Below are 23,012 nucleotides of genomic sequence, written 5' to 3'. Positions count from 1 at the left end.
CTACATGCAAAATACATTTACCCCTCCTCAACATTCAAATAGTCTCAACCCTTCATACCACCATACCAGGAGATTTGGGATGGGCCATGTAACTCCCTGAAAGTAGACTTTTGACCCCACTGGTTGTCATCAACTCCTGTTACTGAAAGAAATCTTGCACTGTCCTGTTCTTTCCCTGGGGCCCTGGTACCTGAAGTCTTAGAATTTGCTGCCAGTTTCTACAGTGAAAAATTGCTTCAAAACAAGAGCCAACCTGTAGCCGCTAGTCACTCAGGAGTCTCACGTAGTTTTGTTTTGTTATTCTTTGATGGTCACTAGAATTTAAGTTTCCTTCTCATTTCTATAGTCTCTCTAGCATTGATTTCAGAAAGAAGCCAGCAGCCCGTGCTAGTTCACCATCTTGACAGGAACTGGAGGCCACAGGGGATATGAGCATGAAAATGGCCCTGAAGCTAAGTGAGCAGTAACCACAGGAACAAAAGCAGAGTTGAATAAGCAGAAGAAACTTCAGCTTATCCGTCCAAAGGCACATCACTAGGAGAGTGTACAAACACAAAATGAGAAAATACAGTAAACAGAAAGGTTTGAAAATAACAGAGAAGATATCTAGCATAATGGTAATAAAAATACCTCAGTAAATAAAATATTGAGACTTACAGATTGGAATTTTGAAAAAGACCCACAGCATAGTGTCTATAAAAGACTCTCAAAATGAAAAGATGCCCAAAATATTTTTTTAAAAAAGGTTGGGAAAATGTTTAGGAAAATCTGAAGCAAAAAAATAGACTTTCAATCTTAATATATTACAAAATAGAACTTAATGCAAAAAATAAAGTAATAAGAAACTGTGGTAGACAGAAATCTTAAAACAACAACAACAAGATATCCCCTCAGGGATACACACTCTGTATAATCTCCTCCCCTTGATTGTGGGTAGGACATAGAAATACAATGAAATATCATTGCTGGGATTAGGTTAGGTTATATGGCAAAGGTGACACTATTTTGTAGACATAATTAAAGTCTCCAATCCATCGCGCTGAGATACTATAAAGGCATATTTCCCTGCATGGACCTTACCTAACCAGTGAGTCTTTAAAGGAGAATCTAGAAAAGAGTTATACTTTTGGAATGTCAGAGTGGGGAACTCCATGGACCCATTCACCCATGTAAATGCAGGAAACCTAGGCTATGAAAAACAATCTTGAAAAATAACAAAGTTGGGAGACTTATACTTCCCAATCTCAAAACTTACTATAAAGCTACAGTCTTCAAAAAGCTGTAGTACCAACATAAGGATATATATAGAGATCAATGGAATAGAATTGAGAGTCCTAAAATAAACGCATATGAGCTTGGAGGAGGACCCCAAGCCTCAGATGAGTCCCCAGTCTTGACTGACAACTTGATTTCAGCATTATAAGACCCTGATTACAGGACCCATATAAGTCTGACTCACACAAATTGAGAAACTCAGATAATAAATAGATGTTTTAACCTTCTAAGTTTGTGGATATTTGTTACATAGCATAGATAACTAATATAGGAACAAAAATAAACAAAGGAAAAAATAGGACAAGAAAATACAGTCATCAAAACATTTATATACCATCATTGCAGTCTAACACATATCTAGCAAAAAATAAGAGAACTGCAGAAAAAAAAGATAAGTGACCAACGTTTTATTTGATAGTCCTAAAGCCAAAAATTGATAGATCAAGAAGCCAAAAAATAAGCAGAGAGGAAAAGACTTGAAGAGTACTCTAAAAATGTTTAGTATAAAATGCCACATCCCACATTAAAAATTATAAAATTAAGGATTTCTGACCCACGGAAGACATAAGAAGTCAATAGACAAATGACAGTATAGATGAAGACATTGGCCATGTCTGAATTAATATGTAGAACAGAAAATCAGTGTGAAGATAAACTTCATGGCCAATAGAAAGTCCTGTGTTTCTCAAAATCTGTTGTGAAGGGCCAGGTTTTTTTCACATCTCCAATCAATTACAGACTGTATTTTTAAAATATAAAACTAATTTGAGGTTATGTATGATTTAGATGGAATTTTAGATTTTTCTGTCTGCCACGCACAGGATGTAAGCAGGGGACATGTCTGTGTAAAATATAGACCATTGCAGAGATAATAGGTATCATCATTTAAAAAGCAGCAGAACTCTTCAAGCGGGGTGCAACCAGGAGGCTGGAAGAGGAATGGGAGGAGGCCATTCAGGGTCTGTGGAGCTCAGAGAGCAAGTGGGGCAAAAGATGAGTATGGTATGGCTGGAGACCAGACAAGGGGTTTTCATGACAGACAGATTGGTTACTTTGATCTGCTGATTGCATTCCTGGGCTGACAGGAGAAAGGAAATAAACAATAGCAGCTTTTGTAGTGGGTGATTTTCTTTTGAAAAAAAAATAGTATTTGGGAAACATCAGACAAATGAGATAAGTGGCAGTTGCAAGTGTTCCTAAGCCTTTGGTTTGTTCTTTACTGAATGCCTGTGGATCTGTGGGGTTGGAAACTCAAGAGTTAGAAGGGCAGTTGGTGATATGGGTAGTGGAATCGTTTGGCCCTGAGGTCAATTTCAGAAAATCCCAGTAATTAACCACAAAAGTAGCTCAATGCCCTAATATGAAGATGGGGAGGGGGCTGTGGTGAGGGTTAAAGGAGATGATTTCGGTGACACATATTTTACAGTGTTGGGTGTGTAGGGATGTAGTTCTGTGTCTCTTCAGCCTCCCTCACTCCAATGCTGAGATTTTAATTAAGTCTTAATTTTAGGAGGGGTCTCAGCAAATGCATTCCAAAGAGCCCTGCTCCTTCAAAACAGGTCACTCGATAAGATGTAGAAAATATTCGGGGTTTGACATAGATCTAGAATTTAGAAATATATGTCAATTTTGTGTACTATAACTTTCAATATGTTTACTTCCTACTTATTCAGGCCACTTAATGACTGACCCAAATCCAGAGAGGTTTCTCCAGGAAACAAGATGGACTCCTGGATTCTGGCTGATCTTGGATATTGACACATTATTCAAAGCTCTACTGGTTTGAGGTCATCATATTACTAACAAAAGTGGCAGGCACAAAATTTACTAACCCTACCAAAGCTGCTTGCATAGCTCATGGCCACTGGGCACCATCAACAGTGAAATCCGCAATAGGGCTATGTTTTCAATTTCTATGAGAGCCGGAACTAAAGAACACAGGCCATGGACAAAATACCCAACTGCAGTAAACACAATTTCTAAAATATTGGAGTACCTTAAAGAACCACTTCACAGCCATAGCCCCAAGCACCGAACACCTGAGGACTCCAAGTATTTATGATTTAGGCCCAAATTTTCTGTTGCAATACAGATAGGGGTAATGCTTGGTCCCTAAGAGAAATATAAAATGAAACCAGTGGGATTTTGTGTGGATCAAGGTAGAAAACAACTGGCTTATTGTGAAAAAGAGCAGGATGCCAGGCCTTCCTTGTGAACTTGGAATTAAAGGTAAAGGTGCTTCCATCAGCAAGCAATGCTGACCAGAGCTCAGGGAGGGTGTGGCTGTGCTTGTCCGGAACAGTAGGCATGGGGTCCATAAACAAGGGCTCCACCCCTCCCAGCCTGAGTGCTCTCAAAGCCAAGGGCCAGCAATTGATTGGTTTTGCTAACCATGCAGACATCCCCTTGGTAATATAAATATGCCCTATCAAATTATGGAGGGATGTTGCACACAAATCCTGCACAGAAGTTGGCCGAAGGACCAAAGCTGCCACATCTTTTTGCCATGACAGATGGAGCTACCCAAAGCTGTTTCTGAAAATTCTGTCCCATAAGCCCTATGGCAAATTCATGGGAATGAGCTATCCAGGAAAAAGGCAGACTTCTTACCAAGAAATATTCAAATCACCCCCCAAACCAAGGATGGAGGAGTAAAGACTCCCTAGCCCTTCTGTTCGGGAAGACTCCTCCAGAAACTGTTGCACTGTCTCTTTGCCCAATGCATGTCCCCCCACCACACCATCCCCTCATCTCTCTGCCCCTCCAAGGCTGATCCCCCACCAAGACCCCAGCAGAGAGGACTGCTTGTCAGGATGGGTGTCTGTCACCACAGTGCTTCTCCCAGGGGCAGTGAGTGATGCTGGCAGCTATGAAGCCCTGGCTGGGTCCCAGATAGGTAACACAGGCATCAGGAGCAGGTGTGGGCATGCAGACTGGAACTGCCATCTTCTGAGCTCTGGAGAAGACATCTGAGCTCTGGAGAAGACATCATTGTGATTCATGCAGCCCTCGGTGTCCACAGAGGGCAGAGCCTCCTGTCAGCTTCAGTGACCTTCTCTGATCCCTAGGCCTGCGCCTGGCCCTTCTGCAGAAGAGCCACCCTCTGTGAGCCTGTTCCTGAGATGGAAACAGAAGGGTCATGTGTGGTTAACAAAATTGTCTGCATTCCTTTAGAGTGGATGGATGATGGCATAGAGAAATGGAAGGATGAATGAATGAATCAGTGCATGAATGAAGGAACAGATGGATGGATGGATGGATGGATGGATGGATGGATGGATGGATGGATGGATGGATGGATCGATGGGTGGATGGATGAGTACACCAACCAACTGGTGGGGGGCTCCTACATGAACTGCCTCAAATCAACTGGGGAGTTTGGTTTATTCAACAGTCTACACCTGCAGCCAAGGTAACGATGATAATGAATTCTCCCTTGCTTATCACTGCCAGAAACATCCATGGCAAATAAATAATAGGAAAGAGTGCAAAACTGTTCACAGACCCAGAAGGAGCTAAGATGTCTTTAATTCTGCTAGTGCAGCATAGGCCTAGAACTACAAACTTTCATACTCTAGAGGAAGAGAGGACTTCTGCTGCAAAAAATCAGGGGCTCTGCCACCACCTGTTTCCACATTACAGGTGATGTTTAGGAGGTTGAACTGGGAAAACCAAGGTCGGGCATCCATGACAAATGTGCAGTATACCTGAAAAAAAATAAGTATAACATATAAATTAGAAAAATGTAATGCACTGAGAGCATTTAGCATGTAGTAGGGGGTCAAGATGTATTAAAAACTACAAAAAATGAAAAACAAAAACAGTCATCCAGGAACAGGGCTTGAAATGCCCAAGCCTCCACCAGGACAAGGGGCACAGGTGGCTGAATGCTCCCACCTGAGCCTGGGGATTCCTGAAAGCATGCCTGATTGGGCCATCACCTGACCCCTGAAGCATCGTGTCCACTCACAATCTCCCTAGCACACATGATGCTGGATGAACGGCTCCCACCCTGTGTGTTCTAGGGGAGAGAATGAACTTCCCAAGGGATGGTCCCTCTGGGCACCCACCAACTGAGCACAGCAGTTGACAGCAAGCCTGCAGGTGGAAGGGCGAGACCAGCCCTGCTGCTCCTGTAACTCTGATTCAGAGCATCCTCAACCTCTGAGCTCACATGGGTCATGTATGGGTCATGGGAGGATGGTGTCAGAACTCAGACTGACTAGGACACATCCTTACCACACAGGAACTAGAGGGACAGGTTGAGTGACCGGAGAAACTAGACAGTCCTGCAATCCCCAACAACAAAATAAGAGTGAGGACTGCATGGAGAACATCATCTACCTGGATCTCGAGGGTCTCAGGAAGGTACTGGCCTGGGGAGCAAAGTGAGGGCTTGGTCTGGGGACAAAGGCCATGTAGAATCTGCAGGTGCCTGCTATGTCCAGTCAGCCATGCTGTAGGCAGAGGGATCTCCCTGGCACTGAGGCCAGGCTTTGTCTGCTTACATGCCAGCCTTCTGCCTTCACTGAGGGAGCCCTGACACCAGGTGGGAGAGGGCTCAGGGACCCTCATTCTGCCCCAGGATCACCTCTGATGACCTTTCTAAGCCTCCTCCCAAAGGCCCACCTTGATATTACTATCCATTCCCGAGAGATTCATGATGCTTTGGGGTTGATTTTATTCTCAAACCTTTTTCTCTGCTGAGCCTTCTTGCAATGGGCAATTGTCAATGTCTTCATCATATTTTTTACAAATTGTGAGGCCCATCTCCAAATCTGTTAAAAATATCATTGTCTGAACTCAAACAAATTTACAAGGAAAAAACAAACAACCCCATCAAAAAGTGGGCGAAGGACATGAACAGACACTTCTCAAAAGAAGACATTTATGCAGCCAAAAAACACATGAAAAAATGCTCACCATCACTGGCCATCAGAGAAATGCAAATCAAAACCACAATGAGATATCATCTCACACCAGTTAGAATGGCAATCATTAAAAAGTCAGGAAACAACAGGTGCTGGAGAGGATGTGGAGAAATAGGAACACTTTTACACTGTTGGTGGGACTGTAAACTAGTTCAACCATTGTGGAAGTCAGTGTGGTGATTCCTCAGGGATCTAGAACTAGAAATACCATTTGACCCAGCCATCCCATTACCGGTTATATACCCAAAGGTCTATAAATCATGCTGCTATAAAGACACATGCACACGTATGTTTATTGCGGCATTATTCACAATAGCAAAGACTTGGAACCAACCCGAATGTCCAACAATGATAGACTGGATTAAGAAAATGTGGCACATATACACCATGGAATACTATGCAGCCATAAAAATGATGAGTTCATGTCCTTTGTAGGGACATGGATGAAATTGGAAATCATCATTCTCAATAAACTATCGCAAAAACAAAAAACCAAACACCGCATATTCTCACTCACAGGTGGGAATTGAACAATGAGAACACATGGACACAGGAAGGGGAACATCACACTCTGGGGCCTGTTGTGGGGTGGGGGGAGAGGGGAGGGATAGCATTGGGAGATATACCTAATGCTAGATGACGAGTTAGTGGGTGCAGTGCACCAGCATGGCACATGTATACATATGTAACTAACCTGCACATTGTGCACATGTACCCTAAAACTTAAAGTATAATAATAATAATAATAAATCATTGTCCACGTCTGTCAAGAAGAATTATACAAACAGTTGCTAAGTGTTTTCTTTTCATGAATTTTTTTAAAAGGCAGAGAAACAAATAGGAAAGTGGATAAAAGGCTGCCATGTGCATGTCATATAAATAGGCCTAGACAGGGCCATGTACAATCTCTCTGCAGGTCAGTAGAAGACAGTCCACTAAGTGTGCTTCAGATACACACTGGAATCTTCCCAATGACTAATACCTGACAGACAAATTGACAGAGTGATAAACATAGGGTGTGACACACTCACACAATCAAATCCTGCGCAGCAGTGAGCCTGCACATGCCGCAGCCACACCTAACAATACACTGCCTCTGCCTTACACCTGAGCCTCAGCCACACACAGAGGGCTCACACTGGGTGGTTCCTTTTACACAGAGTGAGAAATGGGCGAGACTAATGCCTGGGATTAAAAACTAGGTCAGCAGGACTCCTTGCAGGTTAGAATCTAGATGGGATCACAGAGGGGGCTCTGGGGGATGGCACTGTTCTGCTTCATGTGAGTGCTAATTGCTCGTAACCATCTACCTTGCCAGTGATCATCGAGGTGAATGCAGAGCTGCACCATGCTGTTGTGCATGTTTCTTAGGCTTCTATAAGAAGTGATTAAAAGTTATTTTCATTTCTTTACGTAGAAGTCCATGAAACTCAGGAAGCACCCAAATGTAGAGAGAAAATGAATCCAGACCAGAAGTCTGGACAGGCTGGGGCACAGGTCTCACTGGACAGCCTAGAAATTGTCGAGAAACTTGACCCAGTCAAGGGCTCAGCAATCCATGCTGGGGTTGAGATGATACCCAACTATGCCCTGGAACAAACTAACAACCACACTCATGCCCCTATACACACAACACACTCACATTCATGACCAACACACACAACACACTCACACTCATGCCCCTATACACACAACACACTCACACTCATACCTAACACACACTCACACATGCATGCCCAACACATGCCAGAAACATGCACTCATGCCCAACATACACCAACATACACTCACGCGCAACACACACCAACACACTCACACTCATACCCAACACACACACCACACTCACACTCAAGCCCAACACACACCAACACACTCACACTCGTGACCCTATACACATAACGCACTCACACTCATGCCCAACACACACTCACACACACATGCCCAACACATGCCAAAAACATGCACTCATGCCCAACATACACCAACAACATACACTCATGCCCAACACACTCACATACTCATGCCCTGACACACACCAACACACTCACACTCATGCCTGACACAAACCAACACATTCATACTCATGCCTGACACACACCAACATACACTCATGCCCAACCCTCAACACACTCACACACTGATGCCCCAACACACCAACACACTCACAGTCATTCCTTGATTCACACCAACAGCACACTCATGTTTTTACATATATCAATAACACACTCACATACTCATACTCCCATACACACCAAGAACACTCACATATGCCCTGCCCCTCCTTACATTCTCCCCTTTTAGGCTGGCATGAAGCCCCCACCCCGGGCACTGTGGCTGGGCAGCAGCATAACCCCCCTGTGCCCAGGGCTCCTGCAGCCTCCCAGGGTCCAGGGATGGGGATGCAACCCAAGGAAGGGGCAGATGGCCAAGGAAATGGGCAAAGATCAGGAAGGCTGTGTGCCCACCGCAGGAGGAAGGGCCCCTGAGCCCAATCTTCAGAAATGTGGTGCAGACATGGGACCCCCTCCCACGTCACCCCCTGCTGCCATCACCACGGGCTTTGAGCTATTCAGTCGGTGAAGAGAGTTCTGGGAGTGGACAAAATGACTGCCACTCACCTTCTGCTGGGCTCGCTGGACCTCCAGCAACCTGTGCGTGTACTCTTCCATATTGTCCTCATTGAACTGAGCCACAGCAAACTCCATTGATGCCACAAAATACTGATGTCTACGAATTCTTTTTGAATGATCCAGATGCGGGTGCTCAGCACAATAAGTGCCATGAGCAGGGGCACCTTCTACCACATGGCTATCCTCAGCGTACCCACTGGGGGCCAGGGACACTCAGGTGGAGGAGTGGTGGCAGCTGCTGCTGGTGACTCCCTTCTCAGCTCTGGGTCCCACACAGCCCTGTCCACCAGGGGCCCTGAGCTGTTGAGCACCTCCCTTTGAGCAGTGCCTTGTCCAGTGCCTCTCTCCACAACCCCGCAGAGTCCCTCCGTTATCTCCAAACAAGGCAGAGCAGGAGGTCACATAACTTTGGACCTGCAGGCATGCATGCAACATGCCTGCTGCCTACCTTTTCAGGGAAGCCTCCTCCAGCTGCAGCCCAGCCCTGAGAAGACCCGGTGGAGACCTCGAGCCCACCTGGCTTGCCCTCACATAGTGCATGTAAGGCTCACCAGGGAAAAAGAAATCTCTGAGACCTCTGGTGAGCCAGTTCCTGAAGAGCAGAAGCAGTTGCTAAGCCTGCCCATGACGGGGCTGGAGCCCACATTGCCAGCTGGGCCCAGGAGAGCACAAAGTGTGTGGCCAGTGGGGCTCTGAAGGGTGCAAGGGAGATGTCTATAAGAGTCCATTTTCCCTGCTGCCAGACCTTCCTCCACCAGAAGGTGCAACTGGCTTCATCCTCCCAGGCTGATTATTAGTTTTCCTTCATTTCAAAACCAGTTGTAATTTCCACTATGACATTTTTTTTAATCTGTGGGCTATTATAGCTGTATTGTTTAATTTCCAAATGTAGTTGATTTTCTAGTTATCTTTTCTCTCATCGACTTCTAATTCAAGTCCACTATAGTCAGTCAGAGAACACCATTTCATTATCTCCCTTCTTTGAAATTTTTGAGTTATTTGTCTAGAATAACCAATATTCTATTAATATATGCAGTTGAAAAGAATACGTATTCTGCATTTTATAGATGTAGAGTTAGATATTTATATACATCAGTAAGTCCATTCTGTTGAAATTTTCTATATATTTACCCTTTTTTCTTTATTTCTTTTTTTTTTTTTTTTCCTGAGGCAGAGTCTCACTCTGTCACCTAGGCTAGAGTACAGTAGCACGATCTCAGCTCACTGCAACCTCTGCCTCCTGGGTTTAAGCAATTCTCATGCTTCAGCCTCCCAGGCAGCTGGAATTACAGACATGTACCACCACGCTTTTGGATTTATAGTAGAGACAGGGTTTCACCATGTTGGCCAGGCTGGTCTCAAACTCCTGGCCTCAGGTAATCCACCCGCCTCAGCCTCCCAAAGTGCTGGGATTACAGGCATAAGCCACTGTGCCTGGCCATATTTACTCTTTCTACTTTGTCTTGTTTTATTGAGTTTGGTTTGGTTTGGTTTTGGTTTAGGTTTTGGTCGCCTTTTCTGCCAGTTACTGAGGGGTATGTTAAAATTTCTCATGATGATTATGATTGTGAATTTGTCTATTTCTTTCTGACAATTTTTGCTTGATTTATTTTCAGACTATGTCGTCCAGGGCTTATACAAGTAGAATTGTTACACTTTCTTGGTGGCTGACCATTTTATCATTATATAATGTACCAGTTTATGCTGAGTAATGCCTCTTGCTCTGAAGTCTGATGTCAGAGACACCAAAACATTTAGCATTGTTTTGATTCTTATTTACTTGAATATCTTTATTCATACTTTTATTCTAATATGGTATCTTAATTAATATGTGCCTTTATAACCACCAAATAGTTTTTTAAATCAGTCTAAGAGTCTTATTTGGAAAGTTGTTCCATTTACATTACTCATATTATTAGTTACTAATGACTAATATTACCATATGTTTGGTTTCAAATCTACCATATTGCTATTTGTTTTCTATTCATTTCATTTGTCCCTGTTTCTTGTTTTATTCAATTTCTTCTCCTCAGTGGCTTTTAGTTAACCTCCCCTTTTGTCTTTTCTTTTTTTTGAGATGGAGTTTCACTCTGTCACCCAGGCTGGAGTGCAGTGGTGCAATCTCAGCTCACTGAAGCCTTCTGGGTTCAAGCAATTCTCGTGCCTCAGCCTCCCGAGCAGCTGGGACTACAGATGTGAGCCACTCTGTCCAGCTAATTTTGTATTTTTAGTAGCAATGGGGTTTCACTATGTAGATTAGGCTGGTCTTGAACTCCTGGCCTCAAGTGATCCAGCTGCCTAGGCCACCCAAAGTGCTGGGATTATAGGAGTGAGCCACTGCACCCAGCCAAGTTATCTCTTCTTTACCTCTTCTTTTAGTGGTAACTATAGTGATTGTAATGAGTATCATTGACTTAACTGAGTTACCATAAATTAGTACCTTTACCACTCTCTGATTTGCAAATCGACAAAAGCAAAGGCAGCTTTGTCATGGTGAGCTACTTCTCGCAGGAGTCAGGATCCACATCTGCAGACTATACAAAGACAAACAACACAGATTAAAAGCACAATCATCATTGAAATCACAGAGCTTCCAAGTGTTTTTATCCATTTTCAGCTCCTTTGAGCACTCCAGCTCCTGGCATTAAGGTCAGGTGTGCCTGGGATGCTTTAAATATTTGTTCTTTTAATTTTAAATCCTTATGTTAAGCTCCTAGAGTGGGCCATATCATTTGAGGTTGAGGTGCCACTATACTGCCATGGTTCCAGATAATAGGAACTCTTGCTGTACTTATTATTATATCTACCATCTGACTGTTTTGTTCAGATCAGCTGAACATAGTGTGACCGTGGCACACAGACTGAGAGGTGCAATTTAAGCTAAACATCGCCTTAGGGGACCAATTAATAATGATTCCATAGGAATCGTTGTTCAGTACCTCTGCCTGTTCTGCAATGCAATCTTCCTAAACAAGTATGTTCATTTTTTCTAACTGGGTCCATTCCTGTTTACAAATAGGTTTTTGAGGGCGGTATGCCTCAATTATAGGAGCAGTTTTATTATGATAAATACTGAGATCAGAAAGCATGTGTAACTGTGTCATAAAGTGATTGCATCCAGGAATTATTGCCAGCCAAGATTGATAAATATACCCAATAAGTATAATTGTTCTCTGTGTCAGCCCTTACTGAAGGAATACTCATGGCAGTGGTGATAACCGCTATCATAGCTACCATAAAATTACTCGTTGTGACTGGTTGTCCCGCTTTCCTCAGGTTTTCTTCCACCATCTGTGACAGCTTCTTGATCTGTCCCCAGATGGGTGGCTGTGTTCGACAGGTGTTGCTTGTGACAGTTGGAGTCCTCCACAGAGTCAGTCTTGACATGGCTGCAACTGGGGGGTCCTCAGGATCCTCCCGGAGTCTCTTCCTCAGCATCTGGCTCATGATAAGGTTTCAGGTGTCTTGATAGTATCCAAATTGGCTGTTGATTTTGGCCTGGAGAAATACAAGCATAACCTCTACCCCAAGTTATTATTTTACCTATTTCCCAACTTTTTGTTATTGGATCTCTCCACCAAATCAGTTGTTCTATTTCTGTCTTTGCAGCTGGTTTCTGTAGATGCTGTTCAGCTGCTGATAACATCTGGCCTTTGGGCAGGCTCAGAAAATTTAAAGTCAATAATGCTAGATTCAGTTGTATCTGCAGTGTCCCATATTCTCTGTCTCTCCCCTTCTGCTTTTGCAGCTGCTGTTTTAGGGAGAGATTCATTTTTTCCACTATGGCTTGTCCTTGAGAATGGTATGGGATACTGGTAATGTGTTTAATATTCCACATAGAGAAAAATGTAGCTAGAGTTTGGCTAGTATAGCCTGGGGCATTATCTGTTTTAATAGAAGCTGGAATGCCCATGCATTCCAGCAAAAGGTGATTTTTAACACAGGCAGAAGACTCTCCTGTTTGGCATGCAGTCCAGACAAAGTGAGAAAAGGTGTCCACACATACATGTACATAAGCTAGTCTCTCAAACGAGGGAACATGTGTGACATCCACTTGCCAAATAGAGTTAGGTTCCAGTCCTCGAGGATTAACTCCTCCTGTAAAAGATGAGGAATGTACCATTTGGCAAGTTGGGCATTGCTGGATAATAGCTTTAGCTTCTTTCCAGGTAATGCTGTATCTGCGTTTGAGACCAGAGGCATTAACATGGGTTGAATTATGAAAATGTCTAGCATTAGATATTGCAGTAGCAACTAGGTGATCAGCCATTTGATTCCCTTCAGTCAAAGGTCCTGGAAGAGGTGTATGAGCCCTAATGTGAGTGATGTAAAAAGGGTGCATTCTACTCCTAACTGCTGTTTGCAATTGGGTAAATAAAGTCATCTGTTGTTCATCTGTATGAAATCATAACTGAGCATTTTCAATTAACTGTGTGGAGTGAACCGCATATGAAGAATCAGAAATCACATTAATAGGCATATCAAAAGCAGTCAATAACTCAATTACAGCTACAAGCTCCACTTTTTGAGCTTAAGTATAGGGCATCTGAAAAACTTTACTTTTTGAGCCAGAATAAGAAGCTTTACCATTACTAGACCCATCTGTAAAAACATTCTCAGCACCTTCAATTGGTTTAAATTTCATTATTTTAGGGAGAATCCAATCAGTTAATTTCAAAAACTGAAACAGCTTCATTTTAGGAAAATGATTATCGAGAATACCCACAAAGTCAGCTAAATGGATTTGCCAGGTAAGACTATTTATAAAAGCTTACTGTATTTGTGCCTTTGTGAGAGGGACAATAATTTTTCCAGGATCATATCCATGTAATTTAACAATCTGAGTTCTCCCAATCCCTATCATAGTAGCGATTTGATCTAAAAAAGGATTTAGAGTCCATGAATTAGTATGTGGAAGAAAAAGCCACTCTACCAAGTCCTGTTCTTGGACAATAACAACAGTAGGTGAATGCTGAGATGAAAAAAATTAGCAAATCTAGAGTCTTCTCTGGATCTATTCTATGTGAGCCTTATGGACTTGCTTTTCAGTCAGCTGTAACTTGACCTCAGCCTCCTTTAATTGCTGACGGCTAGTAAGACTAGGATCTCCTCTAAGGATAGAAAACGGATTACTCATGGCATAGGTAGGAATGCCTAGAGCAGGTCATATCCAATTAATATCCCCTAGTAATTTTTGAAAGTCATTTAATGTTTTTAGTTGATCCCTATGTATGGTTACTTTCTGTGACACAATGGTAGTGCCATTTACTAAGGTCCCCAAGTAGGAGTAAGGAGTAGTAGTCTGAATTTCATCAGGAGCTATAATTAAACCAGCATGAGAAATCGAATTTTGCAAGTAATCATAACATTAGAGTAATATTTCTCGAGTATGGGCAACACAAAGTATATCATCCATATAGTGAATAATGTAACACTGTGAAAATTTTTTACAAGTAGGTTCAATTGCTTGCCCCACATACATCTGGCAAATTGTTGGACTGTTTGACATGCCCTGTGGCAACACTTTCCAGTGATAACGCTTAGCAGGCTGCAGGTTGTTTACTGCAGGAATTGTAAATGCAAACCGTTCACAGTCTTGCTCAGCTAAAGGGATAGTAAAGAAACAGTCTTTTAAATCTATGACTATTAAAGGCCAATTTTTTGGAATTATAGCAGAAGAAGGCAATCCTGGCTGTAATGCTCCCATAGGTTGTATAACTGAATTGATGGCTCTTAACTCAGTTAACATTCTCCATTTACCTGATTTTTTCTTAATTACAAACACTGGAGAATTCCAAGGGGAAAATGTTGGAGCTATGTGCCCATTTTCTAATTGTTCAGTAACTAATTTCTCTAAAGCCTCCCATTTCTCTTTACTTAGCAGCCATTGTTCTATCCAAATTGGTTTATCTGTTAACCATTTTAAAGGTATAGGTTCTGGAGGCTTAACAATGGCCACCATAAAAAATTATTTCCTAATCTTTGGCAGGAACTTTGTTTTTCTGCTTGAAGCAGTTCTTTCAAACCTTGCAAATTTTTTTCTAGTCCCATACCAGGGATATACCCTATTTCATGCATTGTATATTGACTTTGAGGGCTATATAATTGTTCTGGAATTAGAACTTGTGCTCCCCATTGTTGTAATAAATCTCTTCCCCATAAATTTATAGGTACAGAAGTTATAATTGGTTGAATAGTCCTAGGTTGTCCATTGGGCCCCTCACAATGCAAAATATAACTACTTTGATATACTTCAGCAGCTTTACCAACTCCAACTATGTTAAATTGAGCAGGTTGAATTGGCCACATGGACGGCCAGTGCTGTAGAGCAATGATTGAAATGTCCACTCCTGTATCTACCAAACCTTTAAATTTCTTTCCTTGAATAGTTATTTCACAGGTAGGACGTTTATCAGTAATTTGATTTACCCAATAAGCTGCTTTGCCTTGTTTGTTTGTGCTTCCAAATCCTCTTGATGGTTTAATTTCACTTTTTCCCATTCCTACATATGGCACAATCAGGAGCTGTGCTATGTGCTTTCCTGGGTCTGCTTTCCAGGGAACAGAAGTAGATATAACAATTTGAATTTCCCCATTGTAATCTGAATCAATGACTCCTGTATGTATTTGTATCCCTTTTAAACTTACACTAGACCTTCCAAAAAGTAATCCTATTGTCCCTGCTGGCAAGGGTCCACAGACTCCTGTTGAGACCTTTTGCAGGAGTTCCCCAGGCAGAAGGCTCACAGCTTTTGTGCAGCATAAATCTACTGTGGCACTACCAGCTGTGGCAGGGGACAGACATTTTACAGGGTTGAGGGAATGGCCTGTGCTGAAAATGCCCCAGTTTAGAACAGGGCCCAGGACGGGCCCCTCATGCATTTCCCGAAATCAAGTTCCCTTCTTTATTAAACTTAGAGTGACACTGACTAGCCCAATGATTTCCTTTTTTACATTGTGGACATATTACAGGCTTAACAGTTTTCTTTTTTCCCCTATCTGGCAACCTGACTCGCTGATTTTTTCTACATTCTTTTTTAGCATGACCATGCTTCCCACAGTTAAAACAAGCTCCAGGAAATGGAGTATTTCCTTTATCCACTCTTAGTCCTGCCATTGCCTGTGCCAACAAGGTAGCTTTATGCAGATTACCTCTGATACCATCACAGGCCTTGATATAATCAACTAAATGTGCCTTCCCTCTGATAGGTTGCAGAGCAGCCTGGCAATCGGGATTAGCATTGTCAAAAGCTAATAACTGCAACACTATATCCTGAGCGCCAAATCTGCAATCATCTTTTTAAGAGACCCCTGTAACCGAGCTATAAAATCAACATATGCTTCCCTTGTCCCTGTTTCATAGCACTAAAGGAAGGGTATTGTTCTCCACCTGAAGTGATTTTTTCCCACTCTCCAATGCACACTCCCCTAAGCTGTTCTATGGCATCTTCCTGCATGACCAGTTGTGCATGTAAACCAGACCAGCTGCTAATCCCCAAAAGTTGGTCTGCAGTTATATTAATTTGAGTTTCGGCCTGGGCATTGTGAGCAGCCTGAATGGAAGCGTCATCTGCCCACCAAGTTTTATTTTATTTTATTTTATTTATATATGTATTTTTTTATTATACTTTAAGTTCTAGGGTACATGTGCACAACATACAGGTTTGTTACATATGTATACATGTGCCATGTTGGTGTGCTGCACCCATGCCCACCAAGTTTTAAATTTTAAGAACTGAGCAGGAGTTAGACAAGCTGAAGTAAGAGTGTCCCAGTCAGTAGGAATCATCTGACTTGAAATAGTAACATTCTTTAACAGTCCCATTCCAAAAGGAGAACCTGGTCCATACTGATTTATAGCTTGTTTTATTTCTTTGAGTAATTTAAAAAGAAAAGGCTCAAATGTAGCTGTAATATTTCCCTGTTGATCTGGGGGGTGTATTCTAACAGGGAACTGCCAAGCCTCTAAATCACCCTCTCGTCTAGCTTGCTGAATTCCTGCCTGAATAGAACTAAGACTGGTTGCTCGAGGCACTGCTCAAACAGTCACTGGGGCAACTACTTTTCACCCAGTGTCCTCCAGAAAAGAAAGATCTGGGGGTTCATTTTCTTCAAAATAATAAGGAGGGGGTGCAGAAGGGTAGGGATGAAACTTTCCTTCCTTTGCCGCTTTAGCTGGCAAATAAACATGCTCTGTAACCTCTTCTGTTACTTCACTATACTCTTGTTCTCCTCATTATCAGTGTGAAAAAGTTCCAAGGTGAAAGGAACCAGACCCCACACTGTCCCACCGTTACCCTGATGCTTCTGAGCTCCCCTTCTTACTCACCATGGGGATTGCTTTAAGAGTACTCGGGTGTCCTCCAGCTAGTTTTCCATTCCAACGGTTGCTCTGGCAACCCTTCGATCCGGATTCGAGTCCCACATTGGGTGCCACTTGCTGAGACCAGCTTGGTCGGGGAGACCCTAACCCTGCGGCGCTAGAGGAATTAAAGACACACACACAGAAATATAGAGGTGTGAAGCGGGAAATCAGGGGTCTCACAGCCTTCAGAGCTGAGAGCCACAAACAGAGATTTACCCACATATTTATTAACAGCAAACCAGTCATTAGCATTATTTCTATAGACATTAAATTAACTAAGAGTATCCCTTATGGGAAACAAAGGGATGGGCCGAATTAAAGGAATAGGGTGGGCTAGTTAACTGCAGCAGGAACACACCCTTAAGAAACAGATCACTCATGCTATTATTTGTGGCTTAAGAATGCCTTTAAGTGGTTTTCCACCCTGGGTGGGCCAGGTGTTCCTTGCCCTAATTCCTGTAAACCCACAACCTTCCAGCTCGGGCATTAGGGCCATTATGAACATGTTACAGTGCTGCAGAGATTTTGTTTATGGCCAGTTTTGGGGCCAGTTTATGGACAGATTTTGGGGGGCCTGCTCCCAACATACCACTGCAAAGATGGTGAGGAAACCTTAGGGCACTATTACCCCTTTGTCCACTTCTACCTTGTATGTTATTGTTGTCATGTACTTAAATTCTACATATTTGATAGCCTGTAAAACAATATTACAGTGGTTTTATACGTTTAATATTCATGGGGATTTATCAATTATATTTACCCTTCTTCTGTGCACCATTCCTTCAACATTACTTTGCTTCCACCTGGGATCATTCTCCCTTACCTCCAAAGAACTCATTTTAGTGTTTATTTTTTATTGGATCTTGTTGGTGTATCATTTAGCTTTTTCCAAAAGCTGACTTTTCTCTAAACAATTTAACTTCTCTGGGACCCCCTATCCTAGGGGTTCAGCCAAATCTCCATCTTCTCTCTTCTGGGTGTCCCCAAAATACTGCTAACACATGGGTTTAAGACTATAAATTTCCCTCTAAGCCCTTTTATGGCAACATCTCAGAAATGTTGATATGTCATATGGTTATTATCTTTCAATTCAAAATCCATGAATTATTTTTAAATTTATTGTTTGATTTTTTTATTGTTAAATTTACAGACAGCTAGAGTTATTAAAATTATTTTTAGCTATTTTTATTATAGTTGTTTACTGTGAACAAAGAACACACTCTGAAACATTTTCATCTTTAAAATTTTTGAGTTTTTTTTCTTTTTGATGTTCTGAAAATGTCTTTATTTTGCTTTCATTTTTGAGGAGTATCTTTACTGACTATGGAATTCTAGATTGTTCATTATTTTCTTTCAGTTCAAAGATTCAAATCTGGGCTTCTGCAAATGGTCTATTTCCAGTTCACTTTTACTCCTAGGATGTGGCCTCTCATGGTTTCACCTGAAACCCTTGGATATTTACCATAGTCTTCTTCCTTATCAGGCACTGAACTTTAATTTTTGTCCCCTCAATTGAAGCAGAGAAAATGCATTTTCCCAAGCAGCGTTGAAAGTCAAGATCTTTCATCCCCTTTCTGCCCCTGGTGCCCTCCACTCTAGGTCTTGCTCCAAGTCAGGCAGTTTCCTACATCAAGGCAAGTGTCTATTACCACAGTGTCTCTCCAAAGGGCAGTGAGTAGCATCTGCAACTGAGTCCTCACAATGGAGACCATGCTGGGCCCCCAGGCTGAAGGATTTAAGCATCAAAAAGCTGGTAGGGACATGCTGAGTTGAGCTGCTGCTTCTGCAATCATCTGCAGTCTTGGCAAAGTTTTTCTTATTAACCGAGAAGTTGGTCAGGCCCTTAGGGACAGGCTCATATACCTAGAGGACCTTTTGGAGACTCATGGGCAGAGCGGAGAGCTGCCTGATCAGGGCTCCTGCCCTGGAGCTTCTGCAACCCTCCCTTGGGATTCCTTCATTACCAAAGGTGCAAAATCAGAGGCTTGGAATTGAGCATATATCCACACACTCGTGTTCACAGCAGCATTATCCACAATAGCTGGGAGGTGGAAGCAGCCCAAGTGTCCATGGAAGAATGAGTGAATAAAAAAAATGTGGCATTTCCATACAATGGAATATTATTCAGCCATAAAAAAGGAAAAAACGGTTACATGTTACAACATGGGTGAACCTTGAGGATGTTATACTAAGTGAAATAAGCCAGTAACAAAAGACAAACACTATATGATTCCACTCACATGAGATATCTAGACTAATCAAATTCACAGAGACAGAAAGTAGACTAGGGGTTACCAGGGGCTGGGGGAGAGAAGAATGAGGTGTTATTATTTAATGGGTATGGAGTTTCAATTTTACAACATGAAAAAATTCTAGAGATGGATTGTGGTGAGGATTGCACATGGATGAATGTACTTAACACCACTGAACTGTACACTTAAAAATGCTTAAAATGGCAAATTTTATGTTATATACATTTTAACCATAATAAAAAATTCAGGGGCTCAGGAGAATTCAGAATCACAAAAGAAAAAGCCTATGATTTGAAGGCAAGTTGCTCCCTATAAAGTGTCTTCTGGCATTGTCTTCTGGTGCCCAATCTGGCAGTAGAGGAGGCAGCAGAAGGGAAGAGCATCCCCTCCCTGACATCCCCACTGCTGACCTGCTTGGTCTCCTCTGGTCTCTCAGCTGGCCTGAGGGTTTCTGCCTCCTTTTGGAGCATTTGTGTTGCCTAAGAGCACCAGAGGCTAATGTTAGCCACTCTGGAAGGTGTGTCTCTGCCTGCTAGACTTTTGCAGAGTTCGACAGTCTCAAACTATCTCTCCTTGGGTGTCCAATTCTTATATCACATTTGAGAGCCATCATGCCCAGAGAACCACTGAAACACAGCAAAACACAGCAGAGTAGCCATCTGACCTTAGAACGTTTCATCATTTTGTGAGCTCTGAAAAGTAGATCTGGAGAGAAACAAACAAACAAAATGCCTTTTCTTCAATCCATTGATCCATAAATCAGAAACAGGATCAAGCATCAGCACAGTTATTTCACCATGTGAAAAAATAATAGGAATTTTCTTCCTGGCAGCGGACAAAAAATTTTGTGAGTGTCTTAGGGAAACTTGCTGGAAGGGAACATGGATGCTAGAGAAGACAGATATGCTGGCTAAAGCTGTTCCTGGGGTTCAGATGCCTGAGGAACCTAGACTAAGACTGATGGGCCTCTCTATGATAGACCTAAAATCCAAACATATCAATCATTACATTAAATATAAGTGATCTAAATTAAAAGATAGAGATTGTCAAAATGAATAAAAATATCTCCCAACTGAATGCATATACCTCCCTATTCACATATAGAAACACGTATGATTATATGTGTCATGTTATGAAAATCCCAATAGTCTACCTCAAATCCTATAGAACTAGAGGATGGTGGTATTTATAAGGTGATGGACACATACGTAAGAACAGAATACAGTAGTCAAAACATAGAATAGAACAAAATAGCCATAAATAGACCAACTGGTAGCCAACTCACATTTGGCATTGGTGTAGAGGCAATTCAATGTATAAAGAACAATCTTTTCAATAAATGGTGTTGGAACCATTGAGCTTCCATATGCAATAGAAATGAATCTGAAACTAAATTTTATCATATATGCATTATACAAGAATTAACTCAAAATTGAATCATAGATAAAAATATAAAACTATAACAGTTTTAGAGCAAAATATTCATGGCATGAAGTTAGAACTTTCAGACATGACACCAAAGGCATGATCCTTTTTTAAAAAAATTGTATATCTCTCATTTTATGTTAAGGAGTCATAAAATGATGTCTCAGCATACAAAATCAATGTGCAAAAATTACCAACATTTCTATACACCAACAAAAGTCAAGCCAAGAGGCAAATCAGGAATGTACACCCATTCACAATTGCCACAAAAAGAATAAAATACCTAGGAATACAGATAACTAGGGAAGTGAAAGATCTTTACAAAGAGAACTACAAGACACTGCTCAAAGAAATCAGAGATGACACAAACAAATGGAAAAACATTCCATGCTCATGGATAGGAAAAATCAATGTTGTTGAAATCAATATTGTTAAAAAGCAGTTTATAGATTCAATGCTATTCCTATTAAACTACCATTGACATTCTTCACAGAACTAAAAAAAACTATTTTAATATTCATATAGAACCAAAAGAAGAGTCCAAATAGCCAAGGCAATCCCAAGCAAAAAGAACAAAGCTGGAGGTATCATGCTACCTGACTTCAAACTATACTACAGGGCTACTGTAACCAAAACAGCATGGTACAAAAACATACACACACACCAATGGAACAGAATAGAGGACCCAGAAATAAGGCCACACACCTACAACTATCTGACTTTTGAAAAACCTGACAAAAACAAGCAATGGGGAAAGGACTTCCTACTCAATAAATGATGCTGGGATAACTGGCTAGCCATATGCAGAAGATTGAAACTGGACCCCTTTCTTACATTATGTACAAAAATTAACTCAAGATGAATTAAATACTTAAATGTAAAACTCAAAACTATAAAAACCCAGAAGACAACCTAGACAACACCATTTAGGACACTGGCATGGGCAAAGATTTCATGACAATGACACCAAAAGCAATTGTGACAAAAGCAAAAATTGACAAATGGGATCTAATTAAACTAAAGAGCTTCAGCACAGCAAAAGAAACTATCAACAGAGTGAGCAGACAATCTGCAGAATGGAGAAAATTTTTTCAAGCATGCATCTAACAAAGGTCTAGTAGCCAGCATCTATAAGGAACTTAAATTTACAAGAAAAAAACAAACAACCCCATTAAAAAGTGGGCAAAGGACATGAACAGACAGTTTTCAAAAGAAGACATACATGCGGCCAACAAGCATTTGAAAAAAGGTCAACATCACTTATCATTAGAGAAATGCAAATTAAAACCACAATGAGATATCATCTCACACCAATCAGAATGGCTACTATTAAAAATTTTTAAAAAACAGATGCTGGCAAGGTTATGGCGAAAAAAAGAAGGCTTATACACTGTTAGTGGAAATGTAAATTAGTTCAACCATTGTGGAAGACAGTGTGGTGATTCCTCAAAGTCTCAAAGACAGAAATACCATTTGACCTAGCAATCCCATTACTGGGTATATACCCAAAGGAATATAACTTGTTCTGTTATAAAGACACATGCATGCATATGTGCATTGCAGCACTAGTCACAATAGCAAAGACATGGAATCCATCTAAATGTCTCTCAATGATAGACTAAAGAAAATGTAGTACACATACACCATGCAATACTATGCAGCCATAAAAAAAGAATAAGATCATATCCTTTGCAGGGACATGGATGAAACTGCAGGCCATTATTCTCAGCAAACTAATGCAGAAACAGAAAACCAAATACCACATGTTCTCACTTATAAGTGGGAGCTAAATGATGAGAACACATGAACACATAGAGGGAAACAAACCACACTGGGGCCTATTGGAAGGCAGAGGGTAGGAGGAAAAAGAGGATCAGGCAAAACTAACTAATGGGTACTAGATTTAATACCTGGGCAATGAAATAATCTTTACAACAAACCCTCATGACATAAGTTGACCTACAAAACAAACCTGTGCATGTACCCCTTGAAAAAAGAAGATAAATTGAACTTCATGAAAATTTAAAGTTTTACTCTAACACAGACACTGTTAAATGAAAAGACAAGCTACAGACTGAAATAGGATATTTTCAAATCACATACCTAAAAAATTGTAACCAGAAAAAATAAATAA

The 23,012-nt window shown here is 41.4% G+C and overlaps 1 pseudogene, besides 4 other annotated features; it reads right to left on the bottom strand.

Annotated features, from left to right (window-relative positions):
- CST12P (cystatin 12, pseudogene) lies at positions 4,806-9,012 on the bottom strand (annotated as a pseudogene).
- Positions 8,207-9,034: an enhancer, noted in NCBI's record as "H3K27ac-H3K4me1 hESC enhancer chr20:23456315-23457142 (GRCh37/hg19 assembly coordinates)". NCBI's record gives its function as "activates a minimal SCP1, AML or CMV promoter by ChIP-STARR-seq in naive H9 embryonic stem cells {active_cell/tissue: H9 hESC(naive)}" and the evidence as "EXISTENCE:reporter gene assay evidence [ECO:0000049][PMID:30033119]".
- Positions 8,207-9,040: a biological region, named in NCBI's record as "Sharpr-MPRA regulatory region 1881".
- Positions 8,746-9,040: a silencer, noted in NCBI's record as "tiled region #1881; HepG2 Repressive non-DNase unmatched - State 20:ReprD". NCBI's record gives its function as "represses a minimal TATA promoter and a strong SV40 promoter by Sharpr-MPRA in HepG2 cells {active_cell/tissue: HepG2}" and the evidence as "EXISTENCE:reporter gene assay evidence [ECO:0000049][PMID:27701403]".
- Positions 11,143-11,761: an enhancer, noted in NCBI's record as "OCT4-NANOG-H3K27ac hESC enhancer chr20:23453588-23454206 (GRCh37/hg19 assembly coordinates)". NCBI's record gives its function as "activates a minimal SCP1, AML or CMV promoter by ChIP-STARR-seq in naive H9 embryonic stem cells {active_cell/tissue: H9 hESC(naive)}" and the evidence as "EXISTENCE:reporter gene assay evidence [ECO:0000049][PMID:30033119]".

The sequence above is a fragment of the Homo sapiens genome, chromosome 20, assembly GCF_000001405.40.
Source record: "Homo sapiens chromosome 20, GRCh38.p14 Primary Assembly".
NCBI classification, from domain to species: Eukaryota; Metazoa; Chordata; class Mammalia; order Primates; family Hominidae; genus Homo; species Homo sapiens.
This window is presented reverse-complemented; position numbering and strand designations above follow the sequence as displayed.